Raw genomic sequence first — 19,000 nt, forward strand, 5'->3', positions numbered from 1 at the left:
GCAGTTTTAAAAACCACTTTTCCTGTACTGTTACCATTTTTAACAGTTACATTTTTTCTTACCTCAGTTTTCAAATAAGGTATACACAACAATTTTTAAAGTCTCCCAATCTCCTGCCCCCACTTAAACAAATGAATACAAATTTTCTCAGGCTGGATTAAAAAAAAAGACCCGTAAAAGTATTTTCCTGGCATTGGTTTTCCTTATACATGAATTTTTAAGGTATCAACTTCTGTGACCTGTGTTTCTACAGTTTTAAAAAGTTTTATATCCAGCCTTCATCAATAATTAGTTTTCAAAACAGACATATTTATTTTATACCATACATTATTTCTGTGAGTATTCTAAAGTATTATAGAACATTATTCCTCAGAATTGGCATTTGGAAAAACAATTCTGTGCATGCTAAAGTTAACACACGTTTTCAAAGAAAGTTAAATGACTTTACAGAGCTTTTCTTAACCCTTGCTCCAACACAGACACACACACACACCCTTTACACACATTAATCAAGTACTATACTTTTACATGCAACTAAAAAAAGATGATCCTTACCTAAAACACAGTAGTTAGGAATAATGGCAGTTTTTTTGCAGATAGTCAGAATAAATAACTTTTACATAACAAAGAATTCATGGCAACTACTGAGTTGGTCACAAAATTAGGTCCTTAGGAACAGCTACTGGAAATGCTGTTTCCTAAAACCATGCTGCAGGAAACACTATTCTAGTATTCTGGAACAGTTTTCGAATTCCTATCAATTACCTTAAGGAAATGACCACTATCTAGAGTATTAACAAAATGAACACTGCAGGAACAAGATGTGTATGAGGCTTGTTAGAAATAGTTAAGACAGAATGCTCAACAATACCTTAGCTTTTATGGGAAGGGCAAGGCAGTTTAGAAGACCGGGGTCTGACTGCAGGGCCAGCTCAGGCAGGCGGGTCTCAGCACACCACTCACCTCCCACCATGCACCCTGGAGGCCTCAGATTTCCCATCGCCAGGAGGGTGGAGCTGGCTGAATATGGATCGGAAGGTCACCTCCAGTTCTTTTTTTTTTTTTTTTTTTTGAGACAGAGTCTTGCTCTGTTGCCCAGGCTGGAGTGCAATGGTGCGATCTCGGCTCACCGCAACCTCCGCCTCCAGGGTTCAAGCAATTCTCCTGCCTCAGCCTCCTGAGTAGCTGGGATTACAGGCGCGTACCACCACGCCCAACTACTTTTTGTATTTTTAGTAGAGATGGGGTTTCATCATGTTGGTCAGGCTGGTCTCGAACTCTCTGACCTCGTGATCCGCCTGCCTCAGCCTCCCAAAGTGCTGGGTTTACAGGTGTGAGCCACCGCGCCTGGCCCCACCTCCAGTTCTTAAATGCTGAGAATCTATTTTTATTTACTTCTGATTGGAGCAGGAAAGGGTGATCCCAAAGCCTATCTTGTTTTTAGTATAATTATATGAATATCAGATTAGCATTAAGGAATCTAAGACCTTTTGAGTTAGACAATGACATTTCAAGAAAATAAGATTTAATTATTAACAAAAACCTGAAGGTATTTTTACATTCATTTTCCTGGCCATGTGATTGATTGAAGAATGATAAGAACCAGAAAGTGTAAGATAAATGGATCAGTAAGAAATGCACTTAATCATAAATTATTACCCTTGTTCAAATTCACAGGCTCAGACTAGGAGGTTAAGGGTACGGTGTGGTGGCTTCTGCAATGAGTACAGGTAGCACCAAGAAGGCTGCTTCCTGTAGGAGATCGACAAATACCTACATGGATGAGTCACAGTTCGAAGGAATGGTTCAACGCCATTTGAAAATGCTCTTCAGTGATATGTTGACAAAGATGCTTTTTACAGAAACACTATGCTAAAATGCCGCATGAAATAGCAGCTTTTTCTTTCTTTCTTTCTTTTTTTTTTTTTTTTTGGTAAGACTAAAAAGAACTTCAGTCTAGAAGCTTTGTGTTATGGATATTTAGACAAAAGCCCAATTTCTAGAATTTTTAAGCCACATCTGACATGTTCCTGAATTTTAACTATGGAATTGGCCTACTTATTAACAGTTTGAGGGGAAAAAATGGAAGAAGTTTAGATCACTACAGGAATCTTTTCAAAATCAAAGGCTTTTTTTAAAACGCTGCATAAAAGACTTTAGAAAAAGTAGTATAAACCAACTGCCAGCGTCTGTGAGTGAAAATTATTTATTAAAGAGTCCATTCAAAAGGGTTGTACAGACAGAAAACCAGTGGTTCTCCACATTTGGCAGCATCAAAATCACCTACAGGACTAGTGAACAGAGATTCCTGGACCCCATATCCAGAATCTGATTCAGTAATCCATTTGGGCCAAAGATTTGCATTTCTAACCAAACCCCAGGTAATGCTGACACTGCTTGAGAACCACTGCTCTAGACGAACTACATCTGTGCAACCACTGCATTACTTCATTTACATTTTGACCTTGTATAAATATTTATACAATGGGAAACAGACGAAGCAGCTGGTACAATCCATAGAAATGACGGAAATGTTATCTCCTTAACTCTTGAAAATATCTGTGAAATTATCCAGAACGGAAGAGCTCCAGCAGCAACCAAAATGCATAATCACAGACAAGAATTGCCTGTTGTCAACCTTATGGGTGACAATAACGGATAAGCCCCTTAAGGCAGGCTTTCCTCCTTAGCAACTCTGTGCCATTCTGTGGAATCCATTACCAGTCCCTGTGCTTGGTGGCTTCCACACAGAAGGAGGCAAGATCCCCTGTGACCAGATCTGTGCTTTGTCCTGAACTCCAGATATAACAGAGTGGGTTCTCATCCTCTCCATTTTCAGAGACAACATACAGAAGTTTTCAAGCCATCTGCATTTAATTTTCCCATAAACAATATAAAATTATATTTGTATTCAAAGCTAATAGACAAAACTCTGGCAAATAAAAATTTTAGAGAAGAAAAAATACATACAAGCAAAGTGAGATGTGAGAAAGTGAATATGGCAACAAATGCTGAAGAGATGCAAAATCAATGTTAACCATAAATTTCTATTAATCGAAACTCTCAGACTCCAACAGTATAACAAAGCTAATCACAATGATAACCTAAGGTATTCAAAGATTTAAGAGATTTCTGAATTATTAAAACATTTTATAGTATATTCTAACTGCTTTGAAAATTGGTCATCTTTGACAGACTGGTAAATATCAACAGATAAAAGGTTTGAATTAATCAAAAACTTCCCAACCTTGATAACCTGGTATGCTTGTTATTCAACATAAATAATCACACATTTAAAAAGTTTTAAAAGCGTTCTACCTGCTATGGATTCATGGCCGTTCAACACAATCTATGTGTTAAAATAGATCAGACCCAGGATTCAGGTCAGCATTTGCTATTCTTAATCTCTAAGCTTAAACACACACAGACACACACACACACACACACACACACACACACACACACACACACCACAATTCTTCCCATGTATAACACATTTGGAAGGCAGGAAGGACGTTTTTTGCCAACAGAAAACTCTTAAGAACACAAAAACCAAAAGCATCCCCTTGTTTCCAACATTTTGATTTCAGTATATAAATGATGTTGATGGAATTTTCTCAGTAAGACAATTCTCATTTCTATGGTTATAGTGATTTAAATTGGCTGCTATGTTACAAAAGAATCTTGAGAAATATCTAAAAACTAAACTCATATAAAGAAATTTTGACATAGAGGAAAAAAAGAAGGCAGTTAATATGTCAGCACATCTAAACATAAGGCAATGTTAATTTAAAAAACAAAAAGAAAAAAGCCTGTTGAATAGTGATTGAACATAATATTAAAATCTATGGTTTGGGTTTTGTTATTTGTTTTAATCATGAGAGAAAAATCCTTCAGATGTAAAATTTAAGTTTTCATTAATTATTAAAAATGTATATTTTTCTATCTTATTCATTCAAGAACAAGCAACCACTTGACAAATGTGGACTAATTTTGACAGTAACCCCTCACTACCAGGAATGGAGAAATACACAAGCTTCAGTTGTTTTCTCATGATCCAGACTGCAAATAAAATGCAGTTGCAAATAATATCACCTACAATTTTGTTTAACTCCAAAGATCTGAGGGTCTCTAATTTGAGCATTACAATCAGAAAAACAAAGCTGATTTTCTTCTTTTTAAAGGGAACCTGAGACCGGGCATGGTGGCTCATGCCTGTAATCCGAGCACTTTGGGAGGCCGAGGCAGGCAGATCACAAGGTCAGCAGTTCGAGACCAGCCTGGCCAACATGGTGAAACCCTGTCTCTACTAAAAATACAAAAATTAGCCAGGCGTGGTGGCGGGTGCCTGTAATCCCAGCTAGTCGGGAGGCCGAGACAGGTGAGTCGCTTGAACCCAGGAGGCGGAGGCTGCAGTGAGCCGAGACCGCGCCATTGCACTCCAGCCTGGGCAACAGAGCAAGACTTTGTCTCAGGGATTAAAAAAAAAAAAAAAAAAAAAAAAAAGGGAACCGAAATATCGCAATCCAGAAACAGGCTGGATGTGGGTGGCAGGTGCAGTGGACGTGGTGTCCTGGCAGCTGCCCTTTCCGTCAGCCCTCCTAGCCACCTCTGGCACCCCCGCAGCAACTCTGGGCCTCCCCTGTTGAGGCTCATTGTCCTGTCCTCACTAGGTTGCATTATCTTTTTTTCTAGCATTTTATACTAAGCTAGCTGTCGACCAAACCGAAGCCTTGTGAAAAGTTTTAACAAGAGAAGATCCTTTCAACTCTTCAGAGCCAAGATTCAGTATTTTTAGGTTTAGTGTTTCCCAGGGACATTTGCATTTTCATAGGACACTACAGAATCTGAAAGGCCTTTGAAGCTCAAGGAAAAAAGCTACAGCAAGGAATCACTTTCAATCTTTTTGGGCAGGGCTCTTGCCCCTTGACCCAAGCCGTACCACCACCAGAGCTAGATCCTGACTACGCCAATCCCACCTCACTTCAAGAACTTCCTGTCCAAAGGTGAGGGAACCTGACTACTGATACCTGCAGCTCCCCACCGTCCATCAGTGTAGCTCCAGGAAATCAAAACCAGGTTTAAAATTTACCATTAGTGTAATGATTATCAACATTAATTAGAATTCAGATGCTAGATTTCCTTGGATTTTGAATGTCACTGAAGAACACTTAAAAATGTTCAAAACAATCACCTTTAGAGATGTTTCCACTCATACTGCCTTGATTTCAAATTAAGTAGTCCAAAAATTCTAATCTAGGACAACGAGTCTCAAACCTTTTCAAGTTTAAGAATGGGTATACTTTTTTGGCAATTTACGAGATAGTATGTGACAACAAAAATCTATTATGAATTCAGTAGCACTTTACATAGCTTTGAATTTTGTTTCCCACAACATTTACATATATTTCAAATAAAATACTGCATATACTTGCAATACAAAATATTTATCCAAAGCTCAACATGCTTTTGAGTTCAAAGGCCTCTTGTTATAAATATCCTCATGCCACCAGTTGGAAATATCCTGCCTCTAAAAGGTTCAGTGACAGCCAAATCTCAGCATGCTTGAAAGCTGATCATATCTGCTGGAAACCTCATTATTTCCAGAAAATATTTTTGAAATGGGGACATATCACTTTCAATTATAAGCTGTTGAAGGCTTATGAATAAGTGACTTATGAATAAATCAGTATTATGAATAGCTGTCTTGGTCCCCTCCCTCCTTCCACCAGGAGTCCTTCACTGCCAGCTAATGAGATGGGGATGAGAGGCAGATTCTGCCCCTCCCAGGCAGGCTGGTGTTGCAGCCCACAGGGATGACGGAAGATGGACCTGGAGAAGTTCCTGAGTCCACAAGCTGAGGAAGATGCTGCATGAGGAAGGTCGGAGCAGGGGAGCTGTCAATGTGGGGGCAGCATGCTGAGTCATCTGAATTTTGTCACCTTTCTTGAGATTTCACCAATTAGAGATTACATGTTTTAATATGTCCTTTTCAGTATGAAGAATACTATATTCAGGGGGCTCTGAGAAAACTAACATTCAAAGCTTAACATGAATTAGTTTATCAGGACCTCTCCCTTACTGCTTCTCTAAGATTAACTGCTCTATAGATGAAGGGGTAAATGAGCAGAAAGAGAGGTGATGTGAAAAAAAAAATGCAGCAGCTGGGAGACAGGACACCCCTGCTTGGGGCCCTCAGCAGGAGCTTTTGGCAAACCTGAAGGTATCAATGCCTTGGGACAAGGACGTGCAAAAGACAAGTATGAGATGCTGAAGATGTGCTACTTCTGATTCAAAATAGTGTTCAGAGATTTTACCCCTCACTCTTCCTGTTTTCTACTGGCTACAACAACCTTACGCTCAGTAAAGACGTATAAGAATAGCTTTGCAATGAAACTGCTATTCAGGAAGTATCCCTAGGAAGCCGCTTTTCCAGCTGCGGAAGAAGGACACACAGCCAACACCTGATGGTTCTCCAAAGAAGCCATGCCCTGACTTGTAATTGCCTTGACCCTTTGCTCAGACGCCTGCACTCAGCCAACTTCCACTCACCCTCCACATCTCAGCTCGACTGCCCCCTTCTCTGACAGGCCAGGGAGACCCAGGCTCTCTTTCCTCCACGCTCCCACATAGCTGGTACCTCTCCATTGCTACCACACACTTGCCCCCTATAGTTCCACTGGATGCCACGTTCCTCGAGAGCAAGCACTGTGTCTTTCAACATGGAAGCTTTAGTGCCTGTCATGGAGTTGGCGCTCGGCAACAGTCTGATGAAGGTACTGGTAGCAATCACTAAATGGGGACTGCACAGTAAACGCCAGATATCAGGAGCAGCCTCACAAGTACACAGGAGTAGGCCTTCAACTGGCTGCTTGATCGCAAAGCCACAGCCAGCAGTCACAGCAGGCCAGACGTTTGAGGTGCAGTGATGCAGAAGATAAACAGCACACAGCTCAGGAAACAGCAGCACAGCTGACGGGAAACACCAGCATGCCATTCTATGGGCTGGAAACAAACAAGTACAATCCTCATGGCTAAAAGTGGGAGCAGGAAGTGGCTACAAGGGGCTCTCAGGAACAGGCAACGGACAATGACATCAGACTGGTCCATGGAATCAGTGCAGGAGGTATCCAAAAACACCTGCACTTAAGATTCAGTTCAATAAAAAGTGACGTTACCCAAGGGCTATGGAAAAGCTGGCCAGGAAATCTGTAATGCATTAAAAATAGCATGCCAAAAATAAATCACATCCAAATGATCAATAAAATACACCCTCTGAACTCCTCCCCCAAATTCATACTCACAAAATGATGCCATGAACCTTTCTTTGGGGTTGACCACACCTGAAAGTAGGCAGAGAAGCTGAAGGAATATTGAGGGTTTATTTAGAATAGCACACAACCTATAAGCTGATATTATTTATTCAATGAAAGGTTTAACACATCCAAGATATTACAGGATTCCCTTACATGTACCCAATTAGTATGACAGCACAGCTGGGTGCAGTGGTTCATTCCTGTAATCCCAGCACTTTGGGAGGTCAAAGCAGGAGGACTGCTTGAGGCCAGGGGTTCAAGACCAGCCTGGCCAACATAGTGAGACCTCCTTTCTCTATTTTCTTGAAAAAAAGACAGCAAGTCATATACAAGAAGCCTATTATTTTGTAAGAAAAGTATAACTTATAAACTGAGCTAACATTCCTAAAATAAGACCCATATGGTTTTGAAAACTGTGATGTGATAATGTCCTTTTCATGAACTCTCCTGATAACACATGTTGATATTCCTTAGGATGAAGATTTGCCCATCAATTCAATACACAGAAATAAATTATTTTCATGGAATACTTTCAGGTCTTCTATGTTCTAAGCACAAAGTAGAAACTCAAAAGTGATTGTGAAATGAGTGAACAACGATTAATTAAAAAAATAAGAGTAAGAGGGTATAAGATTCAGGAAATACCCCCTTAAGGAAAAAGTTTCATCTAAGCTCAAACAATCATTTTATTTCATTGCTTAGTTTTTTGGTGTACGATCATCAACAGGAGAGGGGAGAAAAATCCAAAAACTCTTGCCAACTTATGAAAAAAGCAGTTTGCCTGAAAATCAAGTAAAACAAGTTGATGAAATGATTTGTAAAGTCAGGAATACTGCCCTGTTATATTTGCATTTCCTTTGTTTCTCATGAAGGGTTGCAGCCTGTAGGGTGGCCATTCTGACAGGCTGGGAAGCACAGCCTCAGGCCAGAAGCCAGACACAAACACTTTGAGGGAGGGGCAGAGGGAACAGAAATAGCATACAAAAAAGGTCCTGGATGAAAATACAAGATTTTTAGACATTTGAAAACATAAGCTTCATATTATGAAAGACGGTACCATACAAGATAGATATTGTTTTAAATTCAGATAAAATGGAACCACACAGCATTCCAGAGAGATGGTAAGTGGTAAGTGACTTGATTAGCATTTTGACATAAACTGTTTTAGGCCTTCCAAAGTCTTTTATCTATCTTTCCTCACATGCAGAGGAACAACTTCATTCTATTCTTCATGTGCAAAGCAGTTCAATGCTCTTGACAAGTGAGCTTTTTTTTTTTTGGCCTCAGACAGCTTTGCCATTTCTTAAATTTTCTTATAAAAGCCTATGTAGGTTCCTTAGAAGCAGACCCAGAGCCTGAAAGCTAATTCTTAAGTCGTTTTCATTTTTCTTTTTTCCTTCCTTTCCTAAGCCTAATTCCTTTTATTTATGATTTTGGGTGATGGGGTTCAGGACACAATACCCCAAAATATGGCACTGTGGCGTATTAGATATTTGAAGCTGAAAGAATCTGAGAAAACTGCAGAAACAGGAGGATCGCTCTCACCTTCCCCTTGCCCTTCTCCCCTGAGGCAGGCATAAAACCTAGGAAGGATCTTCTCATTTTCTCCTGAAGCAGGACACAAGATCCTCATGTGAGAGACGCCAACCCTACACATGGAGAGAAAGGACTCTATCTCAAATAAGAAGAAGATGCAGGGACACAGAGAGGAATCTGAACAAACAGAACTTGCTAAGTTCCCCCCAGTTGACTGCTATTACATCATACTCTTTGTCCAGTCATATTTCTACACAGCTGTCCACTCTTCATCAAGCCTAGCATGCAAATACATCAAGTTTCTGTCGCTTTGGGTCTTCATTTCTGAAGGCTCCCATGTCACATAAAACTTATATTAAATTTGTATGCTTTTTTCTTCTTTTTCTTCTTCTTCTTATTATTTGAGATAGAGTCTCACTATGTTGCCTAGGGTGGTCTTGAACTCTTGGGCTCAAGTGATCCTCCAGCCCCTGCCTCCCAAGTAGCTGGAATTACAGGTGCATACCACTATGCCCAGTGGCTTTTTTCTTATTAATCTGTCTTTTGTTATAGGGGTCTTAACCATGAACCTAGGATGGGTGAGGGAAAGATATTTTTCCTCCTGTCAACTGAAGAATGAGGTTCATAAATCTGGAAAGAAGAGCTTTATTTCTCATGAAGGGTTGCAGCCTGTAGGGTGGCCATCCTGACAAGCAGGGAAGCACAGCCTCAGGCCAGAAGCCAGACACAAACACTTTGAGGGAGGGGCAGAGGGAACAGAAATTGATGCTAAGCAGGGTGGCCACATGTACATATTCAATAAACTGTAGGAGGAGTCATGAATATTTATGAAAGGAGAAAGGTGCACACATGCAACGGAGCTTCATGCTCCTTCATGGGACTGATGTACAAAAAAATGGTGGCATTAGCAAGATCCAAGGGTGGATTGCTGCCCTCTGATGTCAAAAGGTGAAGAAGACCAGAAAACCCTTGCTGTGCAGTCTCTGTAGACTGGCCCGAACCATTCCGTGGTCGGTGGTCTCTTATGGGAAAAAATGCTGGTCAGTTATGCGAAAACCGCAAAAGGGAGAAGCAGTGTCTGGTGGTTGGTTGAAATCAGCGGTGGAGTCTTTTGAAAGGGCTGTTTGCTCCTTAGCCCTTGGGTGAGAAAGCCTAATCATGGTTAGCCAGGGAGGGGGGCATATGAGAGGCATGTCTGACCTCCTATCCCATCATGGCTGTGAACTCAGTTTTCAAGGTTACTCTGGGTCCCCTTGGCTAAGAGGAGATCTGTTCAGTCAGTTACGGGGCTTAGGATTTTATTTCTCACTCCCCTACATAAATACGCACACAAGATAAAACACTTTCCTCTTTGCTGGAATCTCTTAATGTTGATGGTCAAAAGGTCCTATATTTACCATTTAGGATGTTAAGAATCTAAAATGATCCAGCAATATTGTCAAAGGCATTAGAACCAGAGCAACTCCGTCTTGAATAGAGGCTGGGTAAAAGGAGGCTCAGGCCTCCTGGGCTGCATTCCAAGGATGGTTAGGCATTCTTAGTCACAGGATGAGATAGGAAGTCAGCAGGACTGTTATCACAAGATACAGGTAATAAAGACCCTGCTGATAAAACAGGATGTAGTAAAGAAGCCTGCCAAAACCCACCAAATCCAAGATGGGGATGAAAGTGACCTCTGGTTGTCCTCACTGCTCATTATACACTAGTTACAATGCATTAGCATGCTAAAAGATACTCCCACCAATGCTATGACAGTTTACAAATGCTATGGCTATGTCCAGAAGTTACTCTACATGGTCTAAAAAGGGGAAGAACCCTCAGTTCCAGGAATCCCCACCCCTTTCCCAAAAAACTCATAAATAGTCTACCCCTTGTTTAGCATATGACCAAGAAATAACCATAAAAATAACCAACCAGTAGCCCTTGGGGCTGCTCTATGGAGTAGCTTTTGTTTCTCCTGTAATAAACTTGCATTCACTTTACTCTGAATTTGCCTTCATTCTTGAACAAGATCCAAGAACCCTCTCTTGGGGTCTGGATTGGGACCCATTTCCAGTAACATCTTCCTGGCAAACCACCAAGGGACAACACTGGAGAAACCCCGACCCAAAAGAATAGACTGCAGCACTAATTGGCCAACTTTGCGTAAGTAGTATTTTGTCCAGGGTAAAGAACAGAATTGGGTTAGAGGCCCAACTTAGCAGGGTTAGAATCCCTCCTAAGAAACAGGCAGTTAAAGGTCTTTGGGTTAATCCCCGGGTTAAAATGCCCAATTTAGCAGGGTTAGAGTCCCTCCTAAGAAATAGGGAGTTAAAAAATCTTTTTTTTTTTTTTTGAGACGGAGTTTTGCTCTTGTTGCCCAGGCTGGAGTGCAGTGGCACAGTCTCAGCTCACTGCAACCTCCACCTCCTAGGTTCAAGAGATTCTCCTGCCCCAGCCTCCTGAGTAGCTGGGATTACAGCCATGCGCCACCAAGCCCAGCTAATTTTTGTATTTTTAGTAGAGACGGGGTTTCACCATGTTGGCCAGGCTGGTATTGAACTCCTGACCTCGTGATCTGCCTGCCTCGACCTCCCAAAGTGCTGGGATTACAGGCATGAGCCACTGCACCTGGCCTAAAAGTCTTTGGATTAACTTGCCTTGTGCTCTTTGCTGTTGGCTGTGGGTGACAGAATTGGGCATGTACAGAAGCACATGGGACATGGGGAGACTTTTCTTCTCAAAGGAGAAACTTAAGAGCTCATGAAGATGCTGGAGATCAAGATCCCTTTGTGGCTGACAAGCAGCCACCTGAACTTTTGATTCAGTGTCACCGCACTGGGTGGGTCTTTCCCTGGCCTCCCTGAGCTCCTCGCCTGCCCAGCCCCATTTCAGGCAATGCTATTTTCCCTTCCCTCCTTCCCTTCCCTTCTCTCTCTCTCTTGCACCCTTTTTCCTTTCCTATCTTTTCTGTCACTCAGGGCAACTGTCCTCTCTTCCATCCTGCCCAGGGACCACATGTTGAAACTCCTGGTCAGAGGTCATTCCATCCCACTTTGAATGGATTAAATGCTTTAAGGTCATAAACTGCTTCTTTGACTTGAAAATTGTTCAGCTTGACTGCTTTGGAGCCATTAGATTCTAGATAAGGCCTGGGGACCTGTGGAGTTGGCCATGCCCCTTGGGTATGCTGGAAAGCATCATACCTTGTCTGCACTTCTGTCTGGTGTCCTAGGCTTCACACCTGGTACCTACCAGGATTTTTACCAAAAATAAAAGTTGCTAAGAGTTAATACCATAACATACGTAACTGAGACTACTGGCTAAACAGTTTTACATGTAAGGTGTGTTAAAAGTAGAATGTGTTTTTGGTAAAATACTATAAGAAGGCATGGGGGTGGGAATTTTTTTTTTTTTTTTTTTGCCTGGTTTAAAAGGTTAAAGGATTGTTTTAAGTTAGATATGATAAAGCTGAAGGTTTGAGCAAATTGTGAAAGGTTTGTGAAAGACTAATCTTGTAAAAGAAATTCTGTGTGTAAACACATTGGCTAAAGTTAAAGGGGTAATATTCAGTTTTTACATAAATTGAATATTGAAATAAAAGCACTGCAGGGTTTTCTTAGAATATTAATCTTTTATTTAACAGAAAATTTTAACAGTTTATAAAAGGTTTACAGGAATCCTACCTTATGGTCAAACTGATTAAGACTGGACAAATTTATCTAAGGGTTTTACTAAGAATTGGGTTTAACATTCATAGTACACAAATACAAAGGTGAAATCTGGCCCATGAAGAAGAATTTCATGTAATATTAAAAGACAATGAAAGATTTTTGTTTGCCTAAGCTACAAAAAAGAGGCAGGAAAAAAGAGATTGTTTGGAAAGCTAAGTTCTCCTGTATTAACAGGTAAAGGTTTTTGTCTTTTTAAAATCTTTATCATTTTGGCTAAATGACTTATTGTGACCTAGGATTCTATTTTATAATATCAAATGTTTTAAACCTTTGATATTTGACAAACTTTCCAAAGTAAAATTATAAATCATGTCTTTTTCTTAATTAATCTTTTAGATATCAGTCCCCTAAAGTAAAAAATGATATATTTGGCTTATTTGGTATATTAAAATCATACAGGAAGCATTGTTAAATATGAAGTTGTGTTTGGCTTTCTTTGGGTTGTATCTATATAAATATATTATTGGTATGTGTTCCAAAAATACTGGAAACACCTATAATTTTGATATGACTTAGTGTACGTTATCAGTAATTATATTATGTTAAATTATTGTATACCACAGAAGCAACCAAATTTCCTTGTCAATTGCATCTTTGATTATGGCTGCCCAAAGACATTTTGTCATCCACAATTGTCTTGTTTTGATCCTCTTCAAAGGATGGTTTATAATCAACTATAAGATTCTGATGAGTACTCTTTTTTTTTTTTTTTTGAGACGGAGTCTCTGTCGCCAGGCTGGAGTGCAGTGGCACAATCTCAGCTCACTGCAACCTCTGCCTCCCAGGTTCAAGTGATTCTCCTGCCTCAGCCTCCCAAGTATCTGGGACTATAGGCACGTGCCACCACACTCAGCTAATTTTTGTATTTTTAGTAGAGATGGGGTTTCAGCATGTTGGCCAGACTGGTCTTGAACTCCTGACCTCAGGTGATCCACCCGCCTAAGCCTCCCAAAGTGCTGGGATTACAGGTATGAGCCAACATGCCCGGCCTCTGATGAGTACTCTTAAATGCAGGTCTCTGATAACTTTGAAAAGTATGCCAATAAAATAGGAAAGAACTTCCAACACTCTCTTGAAAAACTAATGTATTCATAAATATTGAGCAAAATGGGAATTGCATAAACTGAATAAAACACTGAAATAATCTGTTTATGACTTTCTACTTAAAATGTTGCCCATCCTTTCTGTTTTGTTTTTCAGAGTCAAGAAAACTTTTCTTTTGAGCTATTTACAGTTTTTATTAGGTTGATGCAAAAGTAATTTCTGTTTTGCACTGCTGGAATTTGCTGTTTGATATTGCAGTACATTCTTAAATAAATGTCGTTATGTTATAGGTCATTTTAATGGGCATTTCTCACTTTATGTGTTTTTGCTAATGACTTACTACTTGCTGTTTATCTTTATTTTAGACTACGGAAATGACATTAGACAAAAAGCAAATTTGAGCGATTTTCGTATCAAAGTTCGAAATGGGTCATAAAGCAGTGGAGACAACTCGCAACATCCACAATGCATTTGGCGCAGGAACTGCTAATGAACTGACAGTGCAATGGTGGTTCAAGAAGTTTTGCAAAGGAGACAAGAGCCTTGAAGATGAGGAGCACGGTGGCCAGCCATCAGAAGTTGACAACGACCAGTTGAAAGCGATCGTCAAGGCTGATCCTCTTACAACTACACGAGAAGTTGCCAAAGAGCTCAACATCAACCATTCTGTGGTCATTCAGCATTTGAAGCAAATTGGAAGGGTAAAAAAGCATGGTAAGTGGGTGCCTTATGAGCTGAGTGAAAATCAAAAAAATTGTCATTTTGAAGTGTCATCTTGTTTTATCCTACACAACAACAACAAACCATTTCTCAATCAGACTGTGATGTGTGATGAAAAGTAGATTTTATGCAACAACCGGTGACAACCAGTTCATTGGCTAGACTGAGAAGAAGCTTCAAAGCACTTCCCAAAGCCAAATGTGCACCAAAAAAGAGCTCACGGTCACTGTTTGGTGGTCTGCTGCTGGTGTGATGCACTATAGGTTTCTGAATCCCAGCATAACCATTATATATGAGAAGTATACTCAGCAAATCAATGAGATGCCCAGAAAACTGCAACACCAGCAGCTGGCATTGGTCAGTAGAAACGGCCCAATTCTTCTCCATGACAACGCCCAACTACACATCACACAATGCCTCAAAAGTTGAATGAATTGGGCTACAGAGTTTTGCCTCATCTGCCATATTCACTTGACCTCTCGCCAACTGACTACTACTTCTTCAAGCATCTTGACAACTTTTTTGCAGGGAAAACACTCCCACAACCAGGAGGATGCAGAAAATGTTTCCCAAAAGTTTGTCAAATCCCAAAGCATGGATTTTTATGCTACAGGAATAAACTTATTTCTCATTGTCCAAACTGTGTTGATTGTAACGGTTACTATTTTGATTAATAAAAATGTGGGGCCAGGCGCAGTGGCTCACACCTGTAATCCCAGCACTTTGGGAGGCTGAGGCAGGCGGATCACATGGTCAGGATATCAAGACCATCCTGGCTAACAGGGGGAACCCCATCTCTACTAAAAATACAAAAAATTAGCTGGGCATGGTAGCAGGCACCTGTAGTCCCAGCTACTCGGGAGGCTAAGGCAGGAGAATGGCGTGAACCCAGGAAGTGGAGCTTGCAGTGAGCCGAGATCATGTCACTGCACTCCAGCCTGGGCAACGGAGCGAGACTGTCTCAAAAAAAAAAAAAGTGTTTGAGCCTAGTTATAACGATTTAAAATTCATGGTCTGAAATTGCAACTACTTTTGCACCAATTGGGTAAAGTGTACTCCTGTAAACAAAATTTGAAGCATATTTCTTTCTCTCTATCTGATTTCTCCAGAATTTGGAAATTATTTGTATTTGTAATTTATGGCAATATAATTATTTGCATAAGTACAGTAAGAATCTGTTTTCTTTTGTAACAGGGCCCAGTTGGAGAAACTGGTTATTTTACCAAGGCTTTGACTGAAATGGCATGCTTTCAAATATAAACAGGCTTCTTTAAGGAATCAAAGTTGACTTACAGAGCCAATAAAAGCTCCTTGGGAAAACTGGCCTCATGCCTTGTCTACACAGTCCCTGCATAGGGTTCTTGACCTGTGGTAAGTAAAGAATGTCACTTTCTGACAGGCTCAGGAGGCCCAGGTTATCTTGGGACCCTGAAAGAAGGAAACAATTTATCCAACTCACACAGGTATTTGCAAGCACAAACCCCTGGCTGGGCTCAAACCTTTAATAAGAAGTCTACTCTAAGATTCCTTACGGAAGAAAGTTCCATCAAAGCCAACTTAAAAAGAGCCTATACAGCAAAAATTATTCTTGCTGCACTTTATACAAATAATCAGGCCAGGTATAATAAGACTAAAGTTTATTTTGCAAACAAATCAAGCCTATCATGCTTTGTCTTTAGTAAAAATGGGAGACTGGAGAGAGAAAAACTATGTTTCAATAACTATAGTACACCTGTTACTAGAACCTAGCCTTGTCTGTTGTTTTTGAGTTTTTCCCTGCAATTTAGACTGACCCAGCTTATTCCTGTGAACCAACCAGTGACCTCTGGATGCAAGCTCAGAAGAAACAAGAGGGATAGGTAATGTAAAAATCTGGATCAATATTGTAATTCTAGGCACATATTAGAATCAGCCACTCCAAGTCTGCTTAGTTCCAACAATTGCCCAGTTCATGGAAAGCCTTCTTATTTAGTTTACTTGAGATAATTTTACTTATTTTGCTTTACTCTTGTGGAATATACTGTCATTGTGCTCTTTGTGTAAGAATGCAGAATAAGTTAACTCAATATTTTATTAAATTGAACACTTATTAGTCTTCCAAATATCACCTTTGGTCAGAACTCAAGAGTTATGAATGGCCCTCACCATATGGATGCTTTCTGACCAAGCATCTCTCTACCGTGAATACAAGAGATGCTAATAGTTGGGCGGGAATATCATCACCCCATTCAGCCTAAGGAAGAGAAGATGGATCTTCCTCCCTCTACAACCCTTAGAATTAAAATTTCCTTGTAAAAGGGAAGGAGAAAATAAGTCAGAGGTATTTGAACCACAGCAACTCCATCTTGAATAGGGGCTGGGTAAAATGACCTGCTGGGCTGAATTCTCAGGAGGTTAGGCATTCTTAGTCATAGGATGAGATAGGAGGTTAGCAGAACTGGTATCAGAAGATACAGGTCATGAAGACCCTGTTGATAAAATAGGATGCAGTAAAGAAGCCAGTCAAAACCCATCAAAACCAGAATGGTGATGGAAGGGACCTCTGGTCATCCTCACTGCTTATTATACATTTATTGTAAAGCATTAGCATGCTAAAAGACACTCCCAGCAGTCCCATGACAGTTTACAAATGCCAGGACTATGTTCAGAAGTTACTCTGTATGGTCTGGAAAAGGGAGGATGCATCAGTTCCAGGAAATCCCAACCCCTTTCCTGGAAAACTCATGAATAATCCACCCCTTGTTTAGCATATGATCAAGAAATGACCATAAAAACAGCCAACCAGCAGTCCTCGGGGCTGCTATGTCTATGGTGTAGCCATTCTTTGTTTATTTACTTCTCTAATAAACTTGGGTTCACTTTACTCTGTGAACTTGCCTTGAATTCTTTCTTGCACAAGATCCAAGTACCCTCTCTTGGGGTCTGGATCAGGACCCCTTTCTGGTAACAATATCATGTTGTGTTTTTTTCATAATTTATAGCAGCATTTACTTATCTGTTTCTCTATAATCTAAATTGAGAAACCTTTGACTTTCTGTATACTTCAGAAAATTTATAAAAAGAAAATATGTTCATAGGTATCACATGCACAGAATGGAAACACTTAGTAAACATAATAAATGTTTTAGTTTTCTGAGCAAGACACTTCTCACCATTAGCTTAGAAATCCCAAATGGATGTATGGATAAGTTGCTTTCCATTTTTTCCCAAAGTCTTATGGAAGAGGAGGAAAGCAATGAAAATATTTAAATTGCTGTGTCTAGGCTATTAAGACTATCTTTTTCTGGTAAGGAAAACTCAATGAGCAGAACAAAAAAGAGAAGTGTGCCGGGGAATGGAGTAGAAGCCATAGAAACTAGCATAATCACCCTTATTACAATCTCCTAAATTATGCAGGCCATAATCTCTGACCATGCAGTATTAAAGGCAGGCAGACTCTCATATGTCCCTAATACTCTTAATCTGCGTAATTCTCCTGGGTCCAAGCTGCCATCGTTTCTCACTAACTGGCCAACAGCCTCCTACCTGGTCACTCCAAATCCATACTGGCCACCTTCCAAGCCTCTTCCACACAGCAGCCAGAGTAATTTTTCTAGAAAGCAAATCTGATCATGTTTCCATTGCTCATTAAAAGCCTTCCCTGAGACTACTGCTGTAGCAAGATTGCTTCACATGGCATAAATGAGTTTCACTGAGAACCAGAAGATGCACTGCACTGCAGCCTTCACGACCTGCTTCTAGCTCTTCAGACTGGCCATATCCCACCTACACATGCTCTTCCCTCTAGCTGGAATCTCTTCCCTCCCATCTTACCTCCTACTCAGCTTTCAGATCTCAGCTAAAGTACCACTTCCTCACAGAAGAATTTTATGACCTTCCTAATAAAGTGAAACCCAACCTATCACAATACCTCATTTGAAACTCCTGAAGAAAACAGGAGAAAATCTTCATGGCCTCAGGTTAGGCAAAGGGTTCCTGAATATGACAGCAAAAGCATAACTCATAAAAAAAGAAAATAATAAAATGGACTTCATCAAAATTAAAAACTTTTAAAGCCATCTTCACAGGGTTAACAAGAATTCTGGACATAAACATAGTTATAATTAAACATTAATTAGGCTGCATCTTAAGCCACTTCCTTATAACCTAATGCCACATAACGTTAGATACTGACCATCTGTATACCCATTGTTCCTATAGACAGGATCTCTGATGTTAGAATCATAAGGCTTTTGTTTAAGAATTCCTTAAGCAAATCCTGAATTACAGTGGAAAAGCTGAAGCCAACCAGCTTGAAGATCCCCACAGAAGAGCCAAATCAGCATGAAAATACAGTTTCTTCATCTCTCTGTCCCATGACTTCACTCTGCACTCTTTGACTAATCAATGATCCCTACACTCGGTCCACTCCAAAACCTTTAAGAATCCTAGCCCCAGCTGGGCGCAGTGGCTCACACCTACAATCCCAGCACTTTGAGAGGCTGAGGCTGGGCCGAGGTTCCCGCGGTGGAACACCTGAAGTCAGGAGTTCGAGACCAGCCTGACCAACATGGTGAAACCCTGTCTCTACTAAAAATACAAAAATTAGCCAGGTGTGGTGGCACATGCCTGTAATCCCAGCTACTCGGGAGGCTGGGGCAGGAGAATCACTTGAACTTGGGAGGTGGAGGT

The 19,000-nt window shown here is 40.5% G+C and overlaps 1 protein-coding gene and 1 long non-coding RNA gene across 11 annotated transcripts in view, besides 2 other annotated features; one reads left to right on the top strand and one right to left on the bottom strand.

The window, feature by feature from the left end:
- Positions 1–19,000, bottom strand: part of DTNBP1 (dystrobrevin binding protein 1) — a 140,252-nt gene that overhangs the window by 22,205 nt on the left and 99,047 nt on the right. The window lies entirely within an intron of this gene.
- Positions 1,059–17,192, top strand: DTNBP1-AS1 (DTNBP1 antisense RNA 1). Of its 2 annotated transcripts, XR_007059478.1 has the most exons (3): positions 1,059–10,997; positions 13,975–14,323; positions 15,524–17,192. It is a non-coding gene; the product is annotated as a DTNBP1 antisense RNA 1 (long non-coding RNA). The 2 variants fall into 2 exon arrangements; XR_007059477.1 differs by lacking the exon at positions 15,524–17,192 and having other exon boundaries at positions 13,975–14,969.
- Positions 5,987–6,281: a silencer, noted in NCBI's record as "tiled region #14615; K562 Repressive non-DNase unmatched - State 7:EnhWF". NCBI's record gives its function as "represses a minimal TATA promoter and a strong SV40 promoter by Sharpr-MPRA in K562 cells {active_cell/tissue: K562}" and the evidence as "EXISTENCE:reporter gene assay evidence [ECO:0000049][PMID:27701403]".
- Positions 6,723–7,271: an enhancer, noted in NCBI's record as "H3K27ac-H3K4me1 hESC enhancer chr6:15551965-15552513 (GRCh37/hg19 assembly coordinates)". NCBI's record gives its function as "activates a minimal SCP1, AML or CMV promoter by ChIP-STARR-seq in primed H9 embryonic stem cells {active_cell/tissue: H9 hESC(primed)}" and the evidence as "EXISTENCE:reporter gene assay evidence [ECO:0000049][PMID:30033119]".

The sequence above is a fragment of the Homo sapiens genome, chromosome 6 (genome assembly GCF_000001405.40).
Source record: "Homo sapiens chromosome 6, GRCh38.p14 Primary Assembly".
Classification (NCBI taxonomy): domain Eukaryota; kingdom Metazoa; phylum Chordata; class Mammalia; order Primates; family Hominidae; genus Homo; species Homo sapiens.